The 27,870-nt window shown below is 38.5% G+C and overlaps 1 protein-coding gene across 14 annotated transcripts in view; it reads right to left on the bottom strand.

Moving 5' to 3' along the window:
* CTNNA2 (catenin alpha 2) overlaps positions 1–27,870 on the bottom strand; it is a 1,463,404-nt gene that overhangs the window by 229,431 nt on the left and 1,206,103 nt on the right. For all 14 annotated transcript variants that reach the window (NM_001399737.1, XM_024452714.2, XM_011532556.3 and 11 more), the window contains one exon: positions 26,059–26,139. In NM_001399737.1, coding sequence (NP_001386666.1) covers positions 26,059–26,139 — 81 coding nt within the window. The remainder of the gene's footprint in view (positions 1–26,058; positions 26,140–27,870) is intronic.

The raw sequence follows: 27,870 nt of genomic DNA, 5'->3' as shown, positions 1-27,870 counted from the left end.
GATAATATTCCTATTTTCTTTTTAAAATTTTCCCAGTGCTTACATTATTAAAGGAAAACCAATGACTGATGGAAGCATGTGAATTAAACATATTATATGTCAACTTGAAAGTTACATAATGGCCTGTTGCTCAATACACACTATGGGTCCTCTCCCATCAAAGGCCTTCTCTCATCCTTCATTGACCCGAACCTTCTGGATGTTTTGAATCATGACACAGTTGAAGAATTCAGGCTCTTTGAAAAGGAAAAATCTAGGCATCAACCAACAAGTCGGGAGAACTTTAGATAAAGATCTAAACTTTGAAGCCAACCGTGAAACTTGGCCACTGTGCAGTCTCCTGCCCATTCTAGATCCATTGTTTGTGTTAGATAGAAGCAGAAACATGAAACATCTAACAATCTCAAAACTGTTTGTGCCCAGGTGCTATGATGACATAGTTGCTATGTTCCAGAAATACTTATAATTATTCTTCAAGATAAATGAGAATAAACAAGCCCAAATCTTCTAACAATGCATAATTATACATCATTCCCACATTGTTAAAATAGAAAACAGGGCAGCTGCTTGAAAATAAAATGAAACTGTCCCTGAAAAATTACCTTGGTGCTGTTTTGTTCATAATTATCTGAATGTATATGGGATATACATAAAAATAAACAGAAGAGAAGATGATAAACACTCTGCATGTTTTCCAAACAAATATACCTATCCAGGAGCATTCAAGTGAATCTCTTGATAGGATGACACCCACACGTTCGTTATTGGTCAGAACAAGGAAAATTAAGAACAAATCTCAATTCCTTTTTGCACGAATTACTATAACGTATGCAATGAAAGTATGTATAACTTAGTTTGGTTTAACTCTGAATTGTGTCTGACATTTTACCTTATAAAATGTAATAAAGTCTATGTAAAGTTGACATCTCCCACATACTCATTTGACAAAGTGTATTAAATTACTGCCTGGGATAATGTTGGTTATTAGTGAGCTCATGTATAATGTGTCATTTACTGAGCTAAAATCTTTGCATATTACATCATTTCATTCCTATTACACACTATTAGATAGGAATGATTCTTATACTAGTTCTTCAAATGAAGAAGCTGGGACTTTAAAAAGTTAAATAATTTGTCTGCAGTCATAAGTTAACAAATGGCAGCGCCTAGGGTAAGAAGGTCTGAAGGAGATCCTACAGTGAACACTTGAAATTGACCTGCCGTGGCTCTCTTCCAGAACAGGCCCACAATGGAGGAAAAGATATTTAGAGTGGAATCAAAATTGAACTTGACAGGGACAACAGAGACAAAAGGAAGAGAAGGTTGAGATAAAGTAGGGGAGATAAGAAGATTCAGGTTATCTCAACAATTAGACAAACATATTTGTTAATACCACACAAAAATAACAGAAGTGAGAGCTCTGGGAAGCTTGAAAAGCTGTCTGCATCAAGCCTCTTTCTAAGCCTTCAGGAAGATAATGTGCACAAAAATGAGCAACTTAAAATTATCAAGGCCAAATCTCATCCAAAGTTATAAGAAAAATTAGATTAAGAAACATAATACCATCATCCCTAGGCACACTGAAAGCATGCCAGAAAGATATGCTTATAAAATAGATTAAAACTGCAACCTACCATTTCAAATAAATTAAAAACATCATAAAAATAATATAAAATATGGAAGAACATGATAAATTAGAATAAGAAAAACTAAAGAATTAGGTCATGAAACTCAAGAAAGAATTATAAATAAAAGAAAATCATTTGAAAAAGACTAAGAATGAATAAACACCACATCAAATGCCATAAGACAAATAAAATAAGAAAAGTTTCAAATCCAAAAAATATTTTTTAAAGAACTTAAAAACCATTTTAGAAAATGTGACAAATATTGAAGATAGGCAAAGAAAAGTCAATACAGGGCTACCAGGGGGTCCATGAATAAAGAAAATCAAAACAAGAAAACAGAATGAATACCAAAAATTGTAATCAATGAAAACTTTCCAGAATATATGTATGTATTAAAACTATATTCTAATACTGTATATTTTTAAATTGCTGATAAGGTGGGTTTTTAATATTCTCACCAAAAAAAAAGTATATAAGATGATTAATATGTTATCTTAATTTAATCATTCATAATATATACATATATTAAAATATCATATTGTACTCCACAAACATATATATGTTAATGAAAAATTAAAAATTTAAAATTAAACAAATAACCTACAATCTGAAATAATGTATCATGTACCTGAGAAGACTGACCCGTAATTATCAACCAAGGTATTTTCCAGTAAAATGACTGAATTCTAAAGAAAAACGAGGGGGAAAAAACTGCATTTCAGCAAATATAGCATATGATTTATACAGGAAAAAATAGATTATCACCAGACTTTTTAATAGTAAAGATTTATGCCAAAGGAAAATATTGTCTTTAAGATACTCAAGGAAAGAGAATGTAAACTGAGAATTTTATAACCAGCAAAACTGACTTTCAAGGGTATAAGACATACAAAATCTGATAAAAATGCAAGAACTCAGAATATTGTTCTCATGACCTTTTCCTATCTAGTTATTTTAAGAAATAAAATATTTTAAGAATTAAAATATCTAGGAAAATATTAACTTAAAAAGTGATAGAATATAGTATAAATGTTTATATACTCTGACAATAAAGACATATTACAACATTGTGAAAAGGGGATGAGAAAGGGAATAGAAAACACCAAAATATTTTAAGTATTTTATGTAATTTTAATTATAGGGGAAGTATGAATATTATTATTCCAATATTATTGCGTTTAAAGGTAGAAGAAAGCAAATGATTAACTATGAAATTTTAATTCATCATTTCCTATGTCCTTGCTAACCAGGAGTGTTGGTGGGGAAGAAAGCAGTTAAAGAAAAATTCTCCAGTGTTAGATCTGAAGTAGAAATGTCAGTAGAAACACATCGGATTTGATTCAGCTTTCTTGAGGTATAATTGACAAATAAAATTGTATATATTTAAAGTGTATAACATGATGATTTGATAAACATACATTTTTTATAAACATATATATTGTGAAATGATTACCACAATTGAGTTAACATATACATTACCTCATATAGCTACCTTTTTTTTTCTTTATTGGTGAGAACACTTAAGATCTACTCTCTTAGCAAATTTCAAGCATACAGCACAGCATTTTTGCTAGTCATCATGGTGTATATTAGATTCTCATAGCTTATTCACTGTATAACTTAAAGTTTGTACCCTTTGACCAGCATTTCCCGTTTCACCACCCCCACCTCCAGCCCCTAGCAACCACTGGCTTACTTTTTGTTTCTGTGAGTTCCACCTCTTGTTTGTTTGTTTGTTTTTAGGTTCCATATATAAGTGATGCCATACAGTATTTGTCTTTCTCTGTCTGGCTTATTTCACTAAGCACAGTGCCCTCCAAGTCCATCCATGTTGTCACATATAAAATATTTCTATTTTTATATGGTTAATAATATTCCATTGTGTATATATCTATTTATCTGCCTATCACATTTTTTAATCCATTTATCTGTCAGTGGATACTTGGTTGATTCCATGTCTTGGCTATCGTAAATAATGCTGCAATAAACATAGGGGTGCAGATATCTCTGAGATATTGATTTATTTCCATCAGATTCTACCCAGAAGTTCTAGTTTTAATTTTTTGAGGCACCTCCATACTGTTTTCTATGATTGTACTAATTTACATTCCCACAAACAACGTTCAAAGCTTTCCTTTCTCCATATCCTTGCCAACGTTTGAAAACATGAGATTTTAAATTGAAAACATATGCATACTTGCAAACACTTTCTCAGTTCTGTCTAATGAAAAAGACTGAAAATAATGGCTAGCCTAGTAGTGATGAACAACTTGAAAAACAATTTTACACTACAAAAAAAGAAAAAAACAAAAAAAACAGAGCTTCATGGAGAAAGGGCTGACTCCAGGCACCCTGAGGCCAGGAGTGTACAAATAAGCTTGAAATATCTTGTCATGCCAGGTAGCAAAGAACTATCAAAGACTCCCAGGGGCAAGCCAGAATAACAGGAGGCTCCCATGGCCAAAGATAGAGGTGCTTTGAGTTGAAGATAAAAGACATTCCCTGCCTCCCAATTAAATTAGGCCCTTGCATACATGAAGGAAAACTGCCTAGTGTTCTGTTACTGACCCAGTATTGTGCATTATTAAGAAATGTAATTCTGCTGTTCGGAGCCTTTGTACATTTTGAAGTTTATTAGCTACGTAGTTGGCCTGCCCTAATTTAACCTGGAAATAGACTTTTTATTTTCCTACAAACTCTGCCTTCCCTTATTTAGATCCTTTCTACTAGAAGTGTGGGCCACTGACCAGTACCACTGCCATTTCCTGGGAGCTTATTAGAAATGCAAAACCAAGGCCCCATCCAGACCTGCTTTTAACCAGAATCTGCATTTTAGTAAGATGTCTAGGTGATTATTCCACAGTATAAAGTTTGAGGAATGCCTCCCTAGAAGACCTATTGTCAAATTCTTAGTCTCAAGCATTAGAAACTAATTCTAGCTGATTTAAGCAGAAAGATTGACCTGTCAGTTCACAAAATAGGCAAAATTCAGAAATGTTAAGGCACCCTGTGTCTTTGTGACAATAGGTTTTGATTCAAAATGTTAGGCAGACCTGATTTTCATCTGGGTGAAACAGAGACCAGAACTCTGGGTCATACGTCCTCAACTAGTTGCAAGAGTACAGGAGGTAGCGGTCGGGAGGAAAGTATTCTTTGAAAACAAGTGTTTTGGCCATTTAAGCTTCTTATACAGAGATTCATAACATGAGGAATTCTCTGAACACAGAAAAGGAACTCAGATACTGACCCGAAAACAAAAAAGTGGCCAGCAAAGAAAAGATCTGACAGAAAACTAATTCAGGGATTCAAGCATGAGTGGAAGTTGAAAATAAATAGAGATACATTTATAAGAAATAATTAAAAGGTGAAGAGTTGTTTATAAGGAACAAGATCAAAAGCTATGAACTAGGACAGGAATGGCAAGTATGCTACAATGCTTCCTTTCTATGTCCACACCAGACATGATTAATCAAGTGCTGCACTCTTTTATGCTGGGCTCAAATACTACTTTATAATCCTTTTCAACACAGTGCTCCAAGTAGCTACTACTAATCAATCCTGTTTCTCCTTCAGGATGAAAGCTTTCTTTCTTTGCTAAACCTTCCCTGCAGTTGAAGCCTTTTGCATGCCAATCTTTAGGCAGAATTGGCTATGTGTCTGAGCAACCCAATGCCATCTTGACTTTCAGAAATAAAAGTTAACACCCAAGTTGAGGCTGGGTAGATGATGTTTAATAAATGCCTGACCATTTAACATCTACCCTGTCATTTAGATAAATGTGTACAAAAATCTTGTTAAGAATAATAGTGTTAACTTCTTCATTACAATGATTTAAGAAATACCAGCCAAGGTCAAAACTGGGGTTAGAGGGTGATTTCAAATAGGCTCAAAAAATCTGAAGCCTTAAATCTTTCCATGAATATGGCTGCTCCAGGCTCTACATGATTACTGACATGTTCTGCCATATTTCCTTAAGCTGTGTGGTATCATTGTTATTAAAAATGTAAAATCAAAGCAACAAAGTGACTGAGCCAGGAGCCATCCAGCCTAGGGGGCTTGACAAGTAGTGAGCTTCATTAAGTCTGGCAAAGTTTAGCCAGTCTGAAGGTCAATGAGGGTAATCAGTCAGTGCTATAATCTACCCAAAGTCACTTTAATAAGCCAAGGTGCCATCAATGCACACTCCATTGGTAATGAAGGCACTCTTCATTGTTCAGGTTGGGGTGGGAGCAGGTAGCGGGAGGAGAGGCATATCTATAAAGCCTAGGGAAGACATTTAAAGAATAATCATGGTTCTTGCTTTATTTAGTTTTCCTTATACGAGAAACACGAAATTCTCTGGTCATTATCTTGATGAAACCAACTGTCTTTCATGAAGCAAAATCATTTTAATTGGGATACTAGCATCTCTTTTTAATGGAACCAATTAGCTCTATCAGGCCCTGTGCTTTTCCCTACCCATCTCATTCATTGTCCACCAAATTCATTCAGGTCTGCTGGATCAATTAAAAGTACAACTGTCATCATTAGCAACACTTATAATGGAGCCAGATCAACAGCCAGATCAACATATGTGCCCTTAGATTTTTTTCTCTGTGAGTGCTGATAGTCAGTATAAAAGTTAGGAACATGTCTCACTGATGGAATAGATAATTATAGTAGATTTGTTGCATGAATAACCTTATTCTTCTATCTCCTTCTATCCATACCATTGCCATGTAACTCTGTAGTGCCTGCCCTCTGTGACTCTGGGCTTGGCCATGTGTCATGTTTAGGGCCAATGGACGTTGGACACCATGATGCATGTGGACATTTGAAAGGCTCATTCAACGTTAGGCCGGCTTGGTCTTGTTCTCTGCCATCCCCATGAGAAGCATGTGCCCAGGCTAGACTGCCTGTCCCAGGAAAAGGGTGACGAACCTATTGACCATGACTGAGTCACCTCAGTCATCGATGTCAAGACCATCCTAGATCCATTAAGAGCAACAGAACCCAGACACAGGAGAAGGCCGGGCTAAGATGACCGCCTCAGACCAGTGAGCTACAAGTGCTATTGCTGTATGCCCCTGAGGTACTGTTAACACTACACTGTTGTGACAATAGATAACTGATAAGATGACATACATAGAATAAGTTTTCATGGTCACCAAATCACCTTTTGGTGAAGTGGTAGAGACATCTTGAAAATAATTTCTGATCAATTAGTGGACTAGTTTGGTGCCATTTCAATTCATTTCTTTGGCCAAATGCACTGAAATAACAGTAGTCTACTCCTCATGTTCCATTATATAGCCATGGGCTGTGTGTAAGAAAATCACAGCTGTAATTTACTATTTGTATAGATTAAACAAATGCTTTACTTAAAATGTTATAACAAAGAGACAAGTCATGGGGACTAGGACAGGGAAGGGTTGATCGGGACTTTTCCTGAAGGACAGTAACAGGTACTTAGTTCCTTCTGTTGATTTCATTTTCTGCCCCAGCACGCACAGGTCAGTGTCAAATTCCTCCTTTACCTCCACGATATGCAAGAGCACTTGCCTTTATGAGAAGAGACAGTGACAAGCTGCCTCAGGGTCCCAGGGAGTGCTGGGATCATTGTGGATCTCCAGATGGCTTAATCTAGCAGGTACAGCACCTTGACATGGTGCTGTTAAAAATGTTAGCAGAAAATGGAGCCCACGGTTGCTGGGTGCAGCACAAGAAAGCAAAGGAGAGGCTAGTGGAAGGGAGAGTATATGCAAAAGACAGAAGTAACTGCAGCGGTGAGATGAGGAGAGGTGGCAAGAGCAGAAAAGCATTGGGGAATATTAATATTTCATAATAGCAATCTTCATTTAGTGCTTATTTTGTGCCAGATACTGCTCCAAAAAATTAGAATAACTTGTTTATTTCTGTCAAAAATCACTGGCTACTATTTTATTCCTTTTATAGGTGAGGAGACTGAGACAATAGAATTAAGTCACTTGTCTACATTCACAAAGCTAACAGATGGCAGTGGCAGGATTTAAACCAATATTGCTTGGCCCCAGACTACATGCTTTAAATACTAACATACACAAGCTGTCACTTGTCTACTTTGTGCCAGCTCTGTGAACATTATTGACCAAAAGCAATGGTATATATGATGACAGCAGCAAACATTCCAGGAACAAATGTGATTCCTGAACGAGTAAAGTATATATACAAGGGATTCTGAAAGCTCCCCTCTTCCCCACCCATGATATAGTAAGACCAAAAAGAAGAAGAGCCCCTGTGGAGAGGATAAAAGAAGAGAACCCATGGCAGATGGACACCATAAGATGGAATCAGTGATCCTACCAGAGGTAGAAGTGATGCTGAGTCCTAATGAATCCCTACTCTGGGAGTAGAAAGAGACCTGCTCGATACTCACTATGAGATTCTCACTTTCTGGGGATTTAGGGATCGGAAAAAAAAAGGAGAACTTGTGGTCTAAGATAGGCCTACTTCAACAATCTATTTGATGAATTATACTTGCTCTAATGTAACCATTTTCTTATAACTCTTAATGATCAAAATGTTTTAAAATAGTAAATTGTAAGATGCTAAAGAAAGTGTGTTTCTTAGGGTTCTAACTGGGTTCAAGCCAAGGGCCAAGAGACTTCTCCCAGAAAGACTGGTATCCATTTTCCACGCTTTGATATGGTAATTATGGTTTATATGGAAATCCATAAGCCAGGTGGTGGCAGAGGTGAGCCTTACTATAGAGAAATCTTTGAAAGCTGCAAATGCAGCTTGATACTGTGACAATCTAGCATTCTAATTTGCATTCTCACTCTTAAGAGTATTAGGATCAAAACTTCTTCTTAAATACATCTTTTCCATAGTCTATAAACACAGGCATATCCAAAAGTGGAAGCCAGAATCCTCAGCAGCCAGGACCAGGGACATCTTGAACTTGGTATCAGCTAACAAGTGCAGAAACTCATAAATACTGCCTTCATTAGCTCATGGGCCCTGTGATTTGTGTCTCTGATGAGCAGGGGCACATTTTTTTGACCCCTCCAGTAAACAGGCAATGTAATTCCTCTGTAAATTGACTACTAGAATGGTTTAAATGCCCTTGCCTACAAGCTGAAAGGCATAGTTAACACTTTTTACATAAGCTAGAAGACCAAAATTTAGCTATCAATCAACCAGGGCAGAAAGGAATGACTTGACAAAATCATTCGTTAAGTCTGACAGGAGTCAAGAACACAAGACGTTTTTCCAATGGTTTAAACGTATGTGTGACAAAGGAATATTAATTGCATAAGACAAGACATTTAAAGGTATTAGCTCAGCACTACCAGTCTATTTTACCCAATTAAGGCTATTCATCAATGTAAATAACTGCATTTTCTTCAGCAAACCCAAAGGAATGCAGTCAATAGATCATACCTGCTCTAGCAATTCTTATTTCGTGGGAGCACACAGTCGTGAAAGAATAGACACAGTTTAACTCACTAACTCAAAAAGAAAAACAAACTGTCTCAAAAATGACCAAAAGTTGTCTACCTATTGGGTGGGGTATGAGGAGTGTATGCTGTACATTGAGCCACATCTAATACTGCAAAAGTATTTTGTACAAAGTCTAAAAATCTGCAACCATTTGATAAATATGAAACAGCTCCCTGCAAAAGACAATCCAAGAAAAAAATATCTCTCCCCAGTCAACTAGTTTTGCAGAAGCTCACACTTGCATAAGACTTTGAAGGCTGTGTGCCTCATTTTAATGTACTCAATGAAAAACACCTCTGCAATTCCTTTTACTGGAGAAATATTCATTCTTGAAAAACTAAAAAAGTTCTCTTATTTGCCTTTAATTGTGAAATTCAAAAATTCCTTTCTAATCTCAAGAGAAATAATGGATCTATAAAGAAAAATCTACACAAATGCCACAGTTTTAGTCAGGATTTTTAAGTGTTATGCCAAAGAAACGAAATGAGAGTAAACGTACCAAAATATGATGGTACAGATACTAATGCAATTAGCTCAGAGGTGGCAGGAACCTTATTATAAGAGAAATAAGAAGTCCTCAGAAAGAAATTATGCTTTATCACTTACTTACTTTACTAAACTGTACTCAAGGGCCAGTGTTCCGTCATTTATTCCTTCCACTGGCATTTAAGTAGCTCTTGGTAGATGAAGCACTGTTTTTGGCCAGGGATACAGAAGAAAACAAGACAAGCCATCTCCTCTCACTTTCTGCTGAAAACTCCTCCACTGTCTCAACTCCCAACTACTAACAAAGCTACAGCGATCAACACGACCTCACACATGGTTGACTGGCCTCATAAATGGTGCTTACAGGTAAGCATGAGTTATTCCCGTCAAATGTATTGGAGGCTGGCCTAAACAACACTGTAAAAAAGTCTAATGTTTCTACATTTCTTTCACATCATATTGCACTTTTTTTTTTTATTACTTAAAGATTCTCTTAAGATTTCTCCACCCCTCCATCAGAACAGGCATTCTTTCTATTGCCCAATGTCTAACTTAGCCCAGAAGAGTTGGCATTTCAAAAGGGTGAAATTTTAGGTGGCAAGGGTGAAGGTGGAAAAGACATTTCTAGCATAACTACCTTGCTCAGATCGCTGAACCCAGACCAAAAAGCAGGTCAACTTTTCTGCGTATTTGGAAGGGTCTACTCAGTTTCTGGCTGCTTATTTTTAATAATAATCCTGTGCATGTCCTGTTTTTATAGCTTGCAGAGAACTTTCCTAGACATTGTTTCATTTGACCTTCCTTACAATGTCACGGTGTGGGTGAAGGGTGCAGTTTGTAGGGTGAGCATCGTTATTTGTGTTGTTTAGATGAGGAAAGAGAGGATCCTCTGGTTGCATATAGAAAATGCCAGAGTCAGGTGTTCGGGTTCCAATAGTAGTGCCATTTTACTTAAGATCTATGTGTTTATGGACCTGGCTGTTGAAGTTCACAAATCCTAACTGGACAAAGGTCACTTTTCTTTCAATTCTTCACTCCCACCCCTAGTCGATTACTTACTCCCAGCCTTATGTCCCAACCACCATTGCTTGCTCCAAAGGGAGATCTAAGATCAGATGCCTGGATGTTTTATTCTGAGTATCTAATATCTGCCATTGATTAACTGGTGGTGAATAGGCACAAGCTTCTTGAGCCCAGTGTGAAAGGGTCAAAAGCTGCATCAGTAACAGAATAGCCTTACCCTAGCAAGGACCTTTAGGAAGCTTGTAATATGCCCCAAAAATGATTTAATCCCCTCACAATTTAATTGGTAATTGGGAAAGACAATTACTGAATGGATGGATTTGATGGCAGGCTAAGAGCAGAAGCCTATAAAAAATGTGTGGTTAAAGAGCATGAAGCAAGATATAGAGACGAGCTCTCAAAAACTATTATTTCTTTCTAATGGGGTCCATCCTACACACCTGTTACGGTGTGGTAGGATTGGTACCAGGTAGAGTCACCTGGCCTGTACTTCCACATGTCATGCATTCCACATTACAGCACAAGTCCTGTGGGTCTTAGAAGAACGTCTATTATAAATATAAGCACCTGGGGAGGAACCCAGACAAAACTCACTACTTCTCACTCTAGGTATGAGTGAAACCTCAGTTCACTGGAGTGGGATGGGTAACTTGGGGGAATAAGATGCTGTTGAGTGAGGAAGGGAGAATGATGAGCATTTACTTCTTGGTGCAGATGTCACTGATAAATGTACCTCTGAAGTTTCTGGCCATTTGTGGTCAGTAAAGGACTCAACACACTTTCTAAAACAGAAAACCATTTACCACACTCCCCTGTTTTACTCCAGTTATGGATAACGGTGTACCTCTGAGCTACCTTCCCTCTCCAGAGTTCTGCTGCCGTATGCAATACTTTTTACTTCCTGTCTTTAACTATTGCACAGCCTTGCATTTCCAACAGCTGCTGAATTTTTCCCTAGAGGTACTTCATTTCAGATAGAAGCCCAATGATTACTCCACATTCCCAACTTTGTGGAAATCCTGTAAAATGACTGGTGCTGTCGCTATTTAAGAGAAACGTAGTTGGATTCAAGGTCCTTTAGCTTTTCAGGGAATTCAGGTGCTTACACCATATTTGTCTTATCTCAAGCTAGGTTTACTTTTAGAGCAGGGATTGGCAGACTCTCCGCTGTAAAGGGCCAGGTAACATAGATTTTGTCCTTTGTGAGCCAGTTAGTCTCTGTCATGACTACGCAAGTCTGCAGTTGTAGCACAAAAGCAGTCAATACAACATTACATAATCAAACAGAGGGCTAAGTTTGGGACAGAGATAGTAATTGGCTGATGCCTGTTCTAGATGGTTTCATCAGTGGATTTTAGTCTTATATGCCTCTCACTCTATACGTAAGTTTCTACTGCAATCTCTGGCTATTTCAAGCTCCATTTACCCACTGCTTACTTATAACCAAGCATCTGCTGTGTCCAGAAGCTATCTCCTTAAGAAGAGAACTGAGGAGGCTAACTGTGGCCTCTAAGAGCCCCCAGGTGATCAGTGTGACTGGTATTTGACCAAACGACTTTTGTTATTTCCCTGCCTCATACTCTGCTAGAAAGCAAAGGTTATTCTAGTGGTCCCTAAGAAATTCCTTTTCTAATATAAGCTTTGAGGCAAGGAAGGAAGAGGAAAGTTACATGGAAGAGTAGAAGTTGTATCTAGTTGGGTTGGCTGGCCTGCTTAATGTAGGTGTTCTGACCTGGACTGGACCCCAAATCATGAATTTCCTGCTGATTTGGCAACAGTATCAAGGGTACTTCCACAGACCGCCCAAACACATAGAGAATGCACCCAGAGCAGCAGGCAAGCTGGTTGCTATGGCAACTTGTGACACAATGCCTACTTGATCAGTCACAAGTTATCCCTTTTCTTTTTTTTTTTTTTTTTTTTTTGAGATGGAGTCTCGCTCTGTCGCCCAGGCTGGAGTGCAGTGGCCCAATCTTGGCTCACTGCAAGCTCCGCCTCCCGGGTTCACGCCATTCTCCTGCCTCAGCCTCCCGAGTAGCTGGGACTACAGGCGCCCGCCACCACACCCGGCTAATTTTTTGTATTTTTTAGTAGAGACAGGGTTTCACCGCGTTAGCCACGATGGTCGCGATCCCCTGACCTCATGATCCGCCTGCCTCGGCCTCCCAAAGTGCTGGGATTACAGGCGTGAGCCACCACGCCCAGCCATCCCCTTTCAACTAGTTAATTTGGTATCTATAGATACAGCCTCAGGGCCACATTGATCTAAGCTTTTGTATTTCAAAGGAGGGGCTGAAGAAGTCTGCTCAGAGTCCATTAGTGCTGACTTCTCCCTGCCCCTTGGAACTCAGCAACCTCCCGCTCCCATTTTTCTGGTTTCCCAGCCTTGCTCAAAGGTGCATTTTTTTTTTTTTTTCGAGAAGGAGTTTTGCTCTTGTCGCCCAGGCTGGAGTGCAGTGGCGCGATCTCGACTCACTGTAACCTCCGCCTCCCGGGTTCAAGTCATTCTCCTGGGAACACAGGCGCAAGCCACCATGCCCACCTAACTTTGTATTTTTAGTAGAGATGGGGTTTCACCCTGTTGGCCAAGATGTTCTCGATCTCCTGACCTTGTGATCCACCCGCCTTGGCCTCCCAAAATGCTGGCATTACAGGCGTGAGCCACCGCGCGTGGCCCAAAGGTGCTTTTTTAGCTTTACAGTCACTCCCTTTAGATAGTTGCAACTCATAGTGTAGCTACTACTTAAGGCAGCCTGATCCTTGTTGAAATTGAAGGAATCAAATAAAAATCCAGAAGCCCTGCCCTTAACAGTTAAACAGGATTGATGCATTCGTGAAAAACTAAGAAATTATGGAAGGAAAGAAGATGGGTCTGGGACTGATTAATCACCCAAACTTCTGACATTTATGGTTGGATCAAAGAGAAAAATCCACTCTTATCCTCAAACTCCTCAGGACAAATGGTTCTCCTTTAATCCTGGAATGCTCAGGCACAATCCATTCAACCATTTCTCAATGAATGCACCAGGCAAGTCTGCTAGTCTCCTGATATGCATTTAATCAGATATTCCCCCAGCTAAAATGAAAGTCCTTAAGTTTTTTCCCTTACGATTAATTAGAATAATAATTATCAAAATCCCATTCACAGTTCAGTTTCTGGCATGGAGCTGGACACAGATATGAATGGCATAAGGAAGAAAGAAATGGTGATTATATTAGACACGAAGCCTATTATTATAATTATTATAGAGAAACTCAGGTCTCTTTAATAATTGATATTTACCTTATGCTCTTCCCATTAAAGAATTTTAATAAAAGCTATAAACTAAGAGCAAAGTGTACCAACTTTAACAACCACAGTCATTAAAAGGACAGGCTTCAGAGTCAACCCACTAGGGTTTTCTAACTTATGAGTTTTATATCAGCAAGAAATTTAATCTTATTATTGGAATTTCAATACTCTACTCGGAAAAAAAATCTTTTTGATAGTAATATCTCTCTGAAGAATTGCAGCGATCGTCAATAAAGAATCAAGTAAAGAATGGACACTAAAAAACTGTCAGTCTTAGTGGACAGCTTTACTTTTCTGACCTTCATACATAACCAGATACAAACAGGAGTAATAGATCAGATGATCAAGATGGCTGATTATTTCAGTTGTCTCAATGACCAGAGACATGCCCAGTTCCTAAGCCTAACCATTCTTAGCACTCATAGCTACGATAAGGCAAGGCAATTGTTGGTGAAGCCATGGCTTTGAATGCAATAATGTTTAATATTTGTACGTCTCTGGAACTCTAAGTAGAGCTCTTTACTGAATTTTTTATCTGGGGCTTAGACATAGGAAGAGAAATCAGTTTTGCAGCAAAAAATCAACATCAATGGTTGATAACTACAAAATCACTGATCTTAACTCAATTTTCTAACAAGTAAAATTACCCAATAATTGTACCAACTGCTGTAGTGAAGGAATTAGCTCCCATCTTTAAAGCTGAGGTAAACAAAAGGCATCTTAATATTCCTGAAGAAAGACCTCTTGCCCTGGGAAGACCCATAGTGTCCCTTCCACCCCTAAGAACCTACGAACCCACGATTTCTGAATCAATAGCTCCTTTTCAAAGATAGTTAACAAATAAGTCCACAAAACAGTACTATTTTTCCTGTTTCTCCTTTCCCCAACTCCTACCCATCTCCTCATTTTGGGGGTAACTGAAAATCATTAGACACATGTAACCACATACTTACTAGTCTGCTTTTAAAATAAGTGTTTAAAGAGATTATAACCTTATTCAAGTTAAGAAGATATGTGATATTTCCCCCCTCACTGGGGGACATTCTTTGTTGAGAGAATTACATATATTACTATTTTTTTCTCTATATAATGGGAAAATCAACAAATCCAGGAGCTGTGTTTTTTTGAAAAAAATAATAAAATCGACTGCTAGCTAGACTAAAAAAGAACAAAGGAGAGAAAATCAAATAGACACATAAAAAACAATAAAGGGGATATCACCACTGACCCCACAGAAATGTAAACAACCATCAGAGAATACTATAAACACCTATGCAAATAAACTAGAAAATCTAGAAGAAATGGATAAATTCCTGGACACATACACCCTCATTTTGTGAGGCCAGCATCATCCTGATACCAAAACCTAGCAGGATAACAACACAAAAAGAAAATTTCAGTCCAATATCCCTGATGAATATCGATGCAAAAATCCTCAATAAAATACTGGCAAACCAAACACAGTAGCACATTAAAAAGTTTATCCACTACCACCAAGTCAGCCTCATCTGCAGGTTGCAAGGCTGGTTCAACATACACAAATCAATAAATCTAATTCATCACATAAACAGAACTAAAGACAAACATCACATGAGTATCTCAATAGATGCAGAAAATATCTTCGACAAAATTCAACATCCCTTCATGTTAAAAACTCTCAATAAACTAGGTATTGATGGAACATACCTCAAAATAATAGTAACAGCCATTTATGACAAACCCACAGCCAATATCATACTAAATGGGAATTTTCCATACTCTAGTATGACAAAAATGCCTGTTCTGGGCACAGTTTCTTGAAAAGTGGCACCATATGTGCATCAGTAAACATTATGTGTAGAGTAAATTAAACCCAGCCTTATAATTAGGCAGTAAGGAAATTACTGTAGACCTGAAAGAGTAAATCAGCAGTATTAAAGTGTTCTCCATTTTCTCTAAAGTACTTCGGAATGCCATAAAAAGCCCATGTCACTGTGATAAACATCAAGAAGAAATGCATTTTGAGCAAGACAACCTAAAAGACAACCACAATTCAAATAGGTCTTCGAATCTGGAGTCCAACGTGTCATCTCATAAAATTTAAAAGCCAGCCCTTTTGTCACTACTGTGAAAGGAAAAAGAAAGCCATCTGACATTGAGACTTTGCGGGGGAACTTTCTCCTACAGCAGGTGCAATAAAGATTTTCATAGATAGAGGCTCTGGAGCACAGCCAGGACTAACAAGAGGTTCGTCCATGATGAAGAAAACAGCAACATTGTAAATACAGACAGAATCAGTATTGCTGATTTTCCTTTTGCTTCCAGCTTCAACATGACTCAACACTGCACTATCTTATTTATGATGATCCTATCTTTATTTACAACATTGATGTTTTGTTCATCATGGATTTCTGCATTATTTTTGATTTTTTAAAGTGTTGCACACAATATTATTTATTGTGATTACTGAGCTTTTTGGTAGCCCCTAAAATCTTGCACCTGAGGCTACGCCTCACTTGCCTTACCCTTGTCCTGGCCCTGCTCCAGAAAGTACAGATCTTTCCAAGCCCTACAATAAGAAGCAGTGAACAATCAGACCATTCACTTCTAACCTATGCCCAGAAGAGAGGAGCCTTGTGAAATAATAAGAAATATATAAATATATAGAATTATATAAATATATAATTTATATTAAACATAATTTATATATTATAAATTATATAAATATATAATATAGAAATATATAAATTTGCCATTGCCCCTGGTTCCTGAACCCCTCGTTCAGACCTCTGCCCTGGTTCCTAAAACCCTTGTAGATAAGGGGTACTAGGAGAATCTTTTGTCTAATATTTGATCTTTAACCCCAGTAACTGACACAGAACTCTTAAAATCTTTGTAATTTCCTAGGTGGTAACATTGGAAACAGCTTCTAAAGCCACTGAAATTTCTTGGGTGACAGCATCTTTTATTCTAATGAGGCAATTTTTGATGGGCTCCTGGATAGCCCCAGGATCCAGGCTGTTTGCAAGGGAAACCAACCATGTGATTAGAAGGTGAGAACTTTTAGCCCCACCCACCCCAACCTCCAGAGAGGTGAGAGAAGCTGAAGGTTGAGTTAATTGCCAATGGCCAATGACTTAATCAATCATGCCTATGAATGCATAAAAACTCAAAAGGACAGAGTTTGGAAATCTATTGGTTGCTGAAAAAATGGAAGTACAGGGAAGGTGGTGCACCCACAGAGGGCATGGAAGCTCTGAGCCCCTTCCCACATACCTCATCCTATGCATCTCTTCCATTTGACTGCTCACCTGAATATTCTTTATAATAAATAGGTAAAAGTGTGCAGTTTCCCTGAGTTCTGTGGGCCACTCTGGCAAATTAGGTGGACCTGAGGGAGGGATAATGGGAATCCCCCAATGTATAGCTGGTCAGTCAGAAATATAGGTGACAACCTACTACTTTCAACTGGCATCTGAAGTAGAAGCAGTCTTGTGAAAATGAGCCCTTAGTCTATGAAATCTGAAGTTATCTCCAGGTAGATAGTGTTAGAATTGAATTATAGGACAGACAGCTGGTGTCAAAGAACTAGTCAGTGAGGGAAAATCATACCGCATACGTTTTGGTGACTAGAGGTAATGTGTGCTATGGAGAGTGTGTGGCAAAACACTGTTTTTTTTTTTTCTGTCTCTTACAAGCCTCAAACATGGATTTTCTGCCCCTGAAAACAGGTATTGACTCTGTGAAGTGGAAAGGTCTAATAGAGGCCAAGGAGATTGCAGAAGAGTTGGAAGGCCTCACAAATCCTCAGATATACCACCTGAGGGACTGGGATGAGGTCTGAAAGTTCCATCTATCAGAAACAAAGACAGTGGAATTCAAACATGGGAGAATATCAGAAATAAGTAGGAAGCTTGTTATGACAGAGATTTTAAGGTGCCACCAGAGGTACATGAAGTCAGAATCTCCCAAAATGGAGTCAAATATCTTCATTTTAGCTGCTCTTGAGCTAAGTCTTCTCAAGCCAACTGAGTAACAGGAAACTACTGGATTAGGGTATCCTCATTAATCATGGAAATTATCCTCAAAATATAAGTAGACTTTTTAGACTAGCATTTTTAGCCCTTGAGACAATGGAACCAGAGACATGTGAGTTTAGAATGGAGGCAAGTTGATGATTGGGATATTTCCTGGGTGCGGTGACTACAGACAGGGGATTCTTCACTCTTTCAGCACCTGTGTGGTGCAGGCTTACTTTATTTTGGGCACTAGGATATTACCTGAAGAAACAAAGACTAGAAAGACATGAGCACTGGCAAAAACAAATAAACAACTAAACCCACTGCAAAATGTGTCATGATAGAGATATTTTTAAATGCTTTGGGAGTCTACTGGATAAATCCTGTTTACAGGAATTGGATAAAGTTGTGATGATAAGGTGACATTTAAGCTAAGCCTGGTAGGAAAAGATGTGAGTTTTCTTGGAAGAAAACAAAAAGGGTGGTGGGAGTATTCCAGGCAGAAGCAACACAAGTGCAAAGGCAGAAGGATCTGGAAACACTGGCTTATGATACTGTTGGGGCAATCATAACTGGGGTCTAGGAGCTACCAGGAGGCTGGGGTCTAGGATACTGGTTATGAGGTTGTGGCCATGGCCATCTTTTGTGTGTGTGAAAAGCAGTGAATTAGGGCCAATGGCAGTGGAGAGGAGCAATGGACTCAAAATGCATTTAGGAGGTGGTATCAATTGGATTGAATGACTGACGGAGATTTAAGGAATAACAAAAGGAGGAGTTGCGTGGGACTGTCACTGTCTTGAAAAGTGGATCACAGTGGGAAACACATAATTGTGTAGAGCCATGGTGGGGTGAAGGTTTGGTTTTAAGATAATCTGGAAATTTCATTCAGCTCAAAAAGAGGACAAAGATGAGTCAAGGGCATGTAATGTAAATAGAGGGTTGTTAAAACTAGCATCATCTTCTTCACAATTTTCCACCCAAGCAAAGAGCAATGTTGAACTCCCTCAGCCATCAGCAGCAGCATCCATGGGAATCACTAAGGCACAATATGAGGACATCCTGGAGCAAATGGGCTCCCACCAGGACTGGTGGCGACAGTAGGCATGGCAGAGCCTGCAGGAAGATGACTCACTTTCTGAATTTCAGATTTGTCCAGCCTCCTCAGGAAATGGGGAGATAAAGAAATATCAGCAGTCCTGATGGAAATTTCCCCTGGGAAAGATGATGCCAGAAGCCATTTCAGGTAATAAAAGGTAACCTCAGCAAGGAGGGGTCAAATGGAACAGATATATTTGGCTACAAGCTGACTGCAAAGATCCACTGAGTACATTCAGTCAGAATCAAGGCGATTAGCTGTTATCATCAGCTCTAGAAACACCTCAATTCAGGCCATAATGGTAGATGCACCACACACTCTAAAATTATCTCGTTTTCAGTGACAGTTTTGGATAAGAATCCCAGTCTAAACACAGCCTCCAACAACAAATATGGGCCAACCTCACTTAACCAGGATGGGTGTAGTAAAATGAATGTTCTGGTAAACTGAAAGGGCATTCTATGAAACAATCTTTGTTATTTCAGTCACCATGGTTGAAAATATTCTAAGTTTCCCTGCTTAGGAATTTCATGCTGAAAAATGTGATGGCATTTTTGTTTCATAATCCTACAGTGGATCTTCCAGTCTCAGGATCAGGATTCTTAATGGTATTATTCTCTTTGCTAAAAATAGAAGAAGGTGTTGGGAATTGAACCAAACACAGACATTATCTGGAAGGTGTTTTGGGGCTCAGTCATTGCTATTTACTCCTTCCCTTCCCACTTTTCCTTGATTTCTAGGGCCTAGAGAAATTAGCAGAAAAGAATAAATCAGTAGTTGAAGCTTCCACTTCATTGAGAGTTTTCATGTTCATACTTACGTTATAGATCCCTCTGCTCAGTATAGTGTACCATTTGATGAAACAATGTTGATCAAGCTACTAGACTCTTTGCTCCTTTGTGTGATCTAGACTTGCTAGTGTCAAGCCAATGTGTGAACAATCAACCATATGCTGGCTTATAGAAATAAATTGAACCACTTTGTGAATTGAATAGTACCTTGACAAGAGAACAGCTAGCCCAAGATGATATTTCAAGAACCGTTTCCAACTGATGAAATAATGTACTTTGGACTTGGCCTAATGACTATTTTCCAGGTGATAAGTAAATGGTGCTCTGACATTTAGGGTTGTTTTATCAGGATTTTCCTAAGGTAGAGGTAGCGTGACTGTACTACCCATCATCAAGGGATACATCCAAAGGATGACCTTTCACGGTATTGAGGTCAGGAGTTTGAGACCAGCCTGGACAACAGGGTGAAACTCTGTCTCTGCTAAAAAAAAAAAAAAAATTAGCCAGGCGTGGTGGCACATGCTTGTAATCCCAGCTACTTGGGATCCTGAGGCAAGAGGATCACTTTAGCCCGGGAGGTGAAGGTTGCAGTGAGTTGAGATCGCACCATTGCACTCCAACCTACTACCTACTCTGCTCCGCTCCTCCTGGTATTTTTGATTCTAATTTTTGGTGTTTCTGATTCCATTTCTTTCTTTCTTTTTTTTTGAGACAGAGTCTTGATGTGTTACCCAGGCTGCAGTGCAGGGGTGTGATCTCAACTCACTGCAACCTCCACCTCCTGGGCTCAAGCAATCCTCCTGCCTCAGCCTCCCAAGTGGCTGGGATTACAGGCACGTGCCACCATGCCGGGTGAATTTTTTTTTTTTTTTTTGTATTTTTAGCAGAGACGGAGTTTCACCATGTTGGTCAGGCTGGTCTTGAACTCCTGACTTCAAGTGATCCTCCTGTCTCGACCTCCCAAAGTGTTAGGATTACAGGCATGAGCCACCATGCCCAGCCTCTGATCCCATTTCTATTTAGCTGTCTCTGGGTTCATGTTTCTTGTATTTCAAATCCCATTTGCTGCATGATCATTTTCTGATCTCCATGTTTCCACAGCAGCTTGACAATCTGACCTAGACTCCAAACTCCAGGGATTATTAGCTCTTATGTAGGGTTTCAGTTTACAGAACACAAACCTTAACACTTGGAGGAACTCAATATTCTGTAATATATTTTGTTGCCATGTAGATAGCCTCATATCCTTATGAAGAAAAACAGATTCAAATCCAGAAATAAATGGTTTTAAAATTTTTTTACAATGAACTTAAAAATAATTGGCCCTATCATGAGCAGATGTGAGAAAAACAATAGAACGCCTTAACATTCTCTTTTTTCTGTAATTGTTCTGGAAAGTCTATAATTCATGTTTTGAGAGGCCAGATACCTAAACATAATTGCACTTTTTAAAAAGAGAATCCAATGAACCATAACAGCTGGAGACCCAAGAGATGATATATCACAAACAAGAACCATGTTTTTGACATTTACTATAGTTGTGTTTTTTCTTTCTTTTCACAGTGCATTCGTGCCACCAATTCCAAATCTTAGAGTTGTAGAGGTGCTGCTCAAAACCTCAAAGCACTTCTACGTATTTATGTGAACCTTCCTTCTTCCCCACGTGTATTTCCCAGAGTGCATTAGTATATGGTTGACCCACATGCTTATGTTGGTTCTACGGAGAGGCAGGATAGAGTAAAATTTATGAGTACAAGACCCTACAGCCAGATTGCCTGGCTGCAGCTTCCATACGTCCACACCCTATATGGCCATGGGTGCTGTACTGGTCTGTTCTCACGCTTCTAATAAAAACATACCTGAGACTGGGTAATTTATAAAGGAAATAGGCTTAATTGATTCACAACTCCACAAGGTTGGGGAGGCCGCACAACCCTGGAGGAAGGTGGAGGAAGAGCAAAGTCACATCATACACGGCGGCAGGCAAGAGAGCGTGTGCAGGGGAATTCCCCTTTATAAAACCATCAGGTCTTGTGAGACTTATTCACTATCACAAGAATGGCACGGGAAAGACCTGCCCCCATGATTCATTTACCTCCTTCCAGGTCCCTCCCATGACATAAGGGAATTATGGGAGCTACAATTCAAGATGAATGGGTAGGGAAACAGCCAAACCATATCAGGTACGGTACTTGGCTTCACATCCTCATCTGTAAAATGAGCATGGTGACAATCTTTTAGAGCTAGTGTGTGGATTAAATGTGGTCAATACATGGAGATAACTTAGAACAGTTCCAGGCACCTTGCAAAGACTTAATACAAGTGGGTTATAAATTAGTTTACATTTTATGGACAGTGATTTTACAAGCTCTCCATGGTAACTGTTCACCTTCAGCCAGAGTTTGTACATAAGGAATTGGGTCAAAAAGGAGACAGCTAAGGAATTTTTTAGTTGTAATTGTTTTTTATTAATCTTGGAAGATTTTTCTGTAGTACTACTTGGAAACACAATATTAATGAATCAGCCTTTAAACATTCCATCCAATAACATGTTTTGCTTATTGATTTTTAATGCTTTGTTATATTACTATTCTAAGTACTCACCCTAATGCAAAAGCATTCTATATATAAATTCTCATTGTTAAAAATGTTTTGATTGTAATAATAGAATTGAGACCTTTGTCAGGTTGACACTCACTAAATCTCATTGCTGGACTCATTGTGGTGGCTAGTAAGGGTGAAGGAATAAGAATTAGGCCTTTGATTTGTTTGGGGAGTGAAAGAGTTGCTAAGTTTAGCAACATTGCAATGTCATAGATATTATTTATTAGCTTCTCAGAGAGAAATGTTTGGGTGCTGATTTATCAACTTGGAAAATCAGGGACTAATAAAAGTACAAAAATAATATTCAGAATCAACTAGCATCCCTGTAATTGTAGGAAAAATTAAGAGATCATACCTAGAATAGTTCATAGGTGGCACAGAGCAAAAGGGAATAGGGGTACAGTTGGCAGAAACTGACTGAGTCTTCTCTGGGGGATGGACAGACCATGTGGGCCAGTAGGCACCCAGAAGGGGCATCAGCCAAGAGCTATTGTTTCCACACTGGGCTGATTCCAGAATCACAGCAGTGACAATAGCTCAGACACAGGGCCTGCTGTGCCCACAGCTTTAAAATGAGAACCCAATGCTTAAAGCTGGCAGTTATCATCCCCTAAATCCATTTTTGATTCTAAACAAAATACTCCTTAGGAGGATTCTGCTCTACCACTGCCCCCTGTCATGGGTTTGACTGGCAAGATGGATTCATGTTAATCAGTTTTAAATGGTACCTTTGGGTCCCTATAATCTTTTTCACCATTTATAATGCCCCAGTTCCTTGGGATATGTTGCCTCAAGAGAGGAGTTCTACTTACCTGAAAATTCCACTTAAACCAAAATCCTTTATATTCAATTAATCTTGATTTCTTTGAGTATCTACAAGTCTAATTCCACTTTCTTTCATTAGGAAAGTCCAAGATAATGATCATGATTGACTTTGTTTCTTTTCAATTTGGTGGCTAAAACTTTTCAAGGCTCCAGGGTCACCCTTCTGAAAAGCACTGCCCAAACTTAGCGCTATGAGGAGGAGGCAGGAGACTGAAAGAGCGGGACATGATGGATGTCACTAGAAATATTTTTTATAAACTAAAATATTTGATTTCACCTTTTTCCCCTATGAGATTTGATCTCTCTAAATATTATACAAAGGAATACATGTGTACAGGGAAGTGGACATGATCACTGAGGGATCTCTTTTAGAATCTGCTCTAGCATACATTTATCTGTAATTGAAAGAATAGAAAGTATCTCAGCAGTATACATTTGCTTGAGCCATTAGCGTTCTCTGAGCCACTATTGTGGAGGGGCTATCAGAGACCCAGGTAACACCTTGTTAATCTAATTACTAGTTACCCACATCTAAGCTTATGACCTACCTGGGCCAAACAAATTAGTCATTGCATGTTCCATCTGCCCAAGTGCTAGGTAGCTTCAATTTAGATCAGAGAAGCTTTTGTGCCACTACAGGTGTACATGGGGAGGCAAAGAGATGAGAAGAAAGACAAAAATATCTCAACATATGGGCAGGGATGAAACTGACAGATGGGGACCATCGTCATTTTAGAAAGGCAGATTGGAGAAGAGAAAGATGTTTCAACCAAATTCATGGATACAGTGTGAAATTATGCCATAACTGTTGGATCTTAATACCATGAAACATTTCTCCTTTTACCCTTATTCCTCTATATTTTGGAGAAAGGTAAGGAAAGAAATAACATACATGGAATAACTTCAGGGAAGGACACACTCCTTCCACTGCCATCTTACAGGAAGCTCTCCAAGGAGCTTGTCACCTAAGCATTTAAAATTCCACCATAATTTTTCACCTTCAAATTTTACCACTGTCCTCTGCTAAAAAGAGTCAACCCTTTCCAGGAATTGTAACATAAGAGTAAAAATTACTTTTTCATTCATTTCTAGTAATAATAATAATAATCCTGCCATGATTGGTCCATGATTGAAAAGAGCTGAGGGGGCTTGTTCTTGAATGTAAAAAAAAATGTAATCACTACTGAGACCAAGGGATCAGGAAGATGGGAAGACCCAGTTCATGAATTTTAGCTGGTTGACAATCTAGCCAAAGGCAAGACCTGGAGATGTCCTCCCACTGCTTTTAAAAATCTGTGATTATCAGTCATTGGGACCTCTGACATAGGAATGAGAATATCCCTTAGACTCACACAATCTTATACAGCTTAAAAAAAAAAGAGTTTGCAGATCTAGTTTGGCTCCTTATTTTTGTAAGACCAAGAGATGAAGGATCCACAATCACACTGCCAGTTTAGCGGCAGAGCTAACACTAAAACCAAGGGCTCTGATATCTAATTCAGCGTTTTCAACTAACCTCCATCCCAATTCCTGCCACCCATATCATTTCATATCAAATGGGGATATGTAGAGATGATCTAAGAGAACAAAGAGATAGAGACCTGGCCATATATTCATTTGCTGTTAGTTACTAATACCTAAAAGGACAATGTTGTATTCTGCCTTATTTCAAAGTAAAGTAAAAGGGAATGTTTCCCCCAAAAGGTTTGTTAGCTGGGGAGCTAGAATATTCATATTCCAGAAATAATTGTGATATCTTCTGAAGGACACCAGATCAAGTGTGTCTACACCTTCAGGTGATGTCTTGATAAAAGCCAAGAAGCTCCCCAGCAGTCATCAGAAGTGGTGGGTTCCTCTCATTCAAATCATTTCCAAGTTGCTGCTTGGCCATTCTCGCCCAGGCCTCTTGCTAATTTTGTTTGTACTTAACACACTGCAGGAGCAAATGCTGGATGTGGCCATGCTAACCCAATTGTTTCAGCTGCAGAAAATACAGCAGGTGCTGCCATGGCAGTGGTTGGTTTTAGCTGGCTGTCACAGTCAACAATTAGTGAATGAGATGGACATAGCCAAAGCTACAGCAGGAGACAGGATTCTGCCCTCCTGGGCAGAAATCAAGAAGAGGGGGTTTTATTATAACTCAGTGGGTGATAGAATCTCTTTCAGAGAAATAATACTACCAAAGAAAGAGGAGTTCATCATGGCCACATATAAAATCAGGGTTCTAAGGCAACATTTACCAGCGTTCATACAACACTTTCAAGGAGAAAAAGGGCCCTGACCGGAGATTTCTCCCTGTTAAGAAAAATAGACCCATCAAACTAATGATGTCATTAGCCATTTTATTCCCTGCTTCCCAAACAACCATCTGATAAGCAAACTTTCTCCTAGATTTATGTTCCCAAGGGAATACACTGGCCAAGAGACCTTAATTAACCCATCAGATTAAGAGTTGTATTTCTCATTAACCATTAGCATTCTGGTTTATCACTAAATTCCCGGGAGTTTGATAAGTAAGAACCAGCAAAGATCAGAGGCAGGCTCTTGGCATACCTGGATTTGGAAAACTAAAGACCAGATGTAGAAGTAGTGAATTCATCCAGTCTCCACTGGGACAGATTGGATCTGGGCAGTGAGAAGCCACCTGCTCAGGAACTGTCTCCTTGCTTGCAACTGGCTCGTCTCTGTCCAGCAATCTCTACCTTGCCGATAAAATGGGGTTTTTATTTGTATATGTAAATGTTATAAAGAATAACAACCTCATTGTCATCTCCAAGAAGACACCCTGGAAAAGGATATTGTTGGAAACCACTACTGAATATCATGGACTTAAAGTAAAAATAAAAAATAGTACCTGTCTCCTTAGATCTCTTGTTTTCTTAGTCATCTTATCAATCGCAATGTTGAGAGGATCTCCTTTTTCTTTCCTTCCAGTCTATTAAGAAAAGAGAAATAATTTCTGATTTAGCATATTCAATGTTAGAGACATTAAAAATTTAAAAAAATCAGGAAAACATGAGAAGTTAAATTCAAACAATTTTTTAAAAAGATTATTTTCAATACATAACTATAACATGATTTGGTCTCTAAAGTTGGTTTTTCCTGAAATAATAATTAAAATTGATAAAGACCAATACGTTCTCAGGATGGTTACACATATGTCCATATTCAACTCCACACAAATCTGTGTTTTCATCCCTCCTCCAGACGCTTAGCAGTTAAGTTAATATAACAAGGATGTTTTGTTTTTGCCTTCAAATACAAATGCTTTGTGTGTCTATATTGTGTAGGCACATTTCTGAATAGAAGATAACTGAGATAATAAAAACTAAATCGAAAAAGATTTTAAGTAAATCACCAGAATTCGGAATTTTATACCAATATTTTTTAAGCCATATTGCAACTTCTATATCAAATTCAAAAGAGATGCTTTACTAGAAAATACAGTATTGCTAATCTCTGCTCTGTCATGTAGTGGAATGCTAAAAATGATAATAAGCAACCCACAGCTTGAGGTCATGAGGAAAATTTCCCTTATGACTACAACAGGCAGAGGTAGAGAAAAAAAAAAGTGTTCTTTAATAAATTGTTCACTTGGAAGTTTCACTAGTTTCCTATTTCTTTGCTTTTTCTCCTTTTTTTGGTGGGTACAGAAAAACAATTAAAACTCAACAGAAAAGAATCCCCATTGTCTTTTTAAAAGAGCAACAAGATTCCCATGGATGAAAAGCTCTATAAACTTTATGGATGACAATAATCTTCCCCTTAAAAGATAAATGTTTTCAAAAACCTTGTCAAATTGATTAAATTATCTAAATTTTAGTCAAACGCTACAGATTGATTTATTTATGGTGCTAGTGGCAAGTCAATTATTGTGGCCTACTCAGTCTCTATAAAATCATGTAGGTCCCTGTAGTAATTTGCTTATATGATAAAATGAGATCCCAGATCTTAAGTTGTGCCTAATGGGATAACATGATTTGGCAATGCATAAAAATTACCATCCAACAGGTTTCTAAATGTTCTCTTTCCGTGACAAAATCCGGGAAGCATAAAGCTGATACATACATACCCGCTCTCCATAGCTGGGTTTAAAGTAGTCACTCTTCTCTGCCACTTGCTTAATTAACTATTTTTTCTGAACAAATGTCTGATGCACAGCCCTATAGGGTTTTCATTAAAAAGCCCAAACCAAGGCATATGTGCATATATTTTTAGTCTTCTAAAATCCTACCATTCCCCATCATCCTTTCCCACTCCCTAAACTCACACACTCACTCTTTCAGATGTAGACACTAAGGTTTTTAAGTAGAAAGAGCTTAAAATACAGTGGCTAACATTTTACAACTTTGAAATATCAGCCTACAAATAGCTCCAAGAAAACAAAAGTGTATGGAGAAGAATAACGTGCTGCTCTGTCTTTCAAGGGAATGTGGTTGTGCAGTGAGTGTGACTTCAATGCTCTGCCTCTCCAAGTTCAGATCTGCCACAAATTCAGCAGCCAAAGGCTATTCCTTTTCTGTTTGGTTCTCTCCTTGCAAATAGGTTGTCTGCCATCAAAATACAGGGCACCTATGTGGAGCTCTGGACCATGATCCTTCTGAAAATCATAATTTCCTGTGGCCTATTCATTTATTAGAATAAAAAAACTTACTTTCAAACATTA

This window comes from Homo sapiens, chromosome 2 (assembly GCF_000001405.40).
Source record: "Homo sapiens chromosome 2, GRCh38.p14 Primary Assembly".
Lineage (NCBI taxonomy): Eukaryota > Metazoa > Chordata > Mammalia > Primates > Hominidae > Homo > Homo sapiens.
Note: the sequence above shows the minus strand (reverse complement) of the source record. Positions and strands in the feature narration are given on the sequence as shown.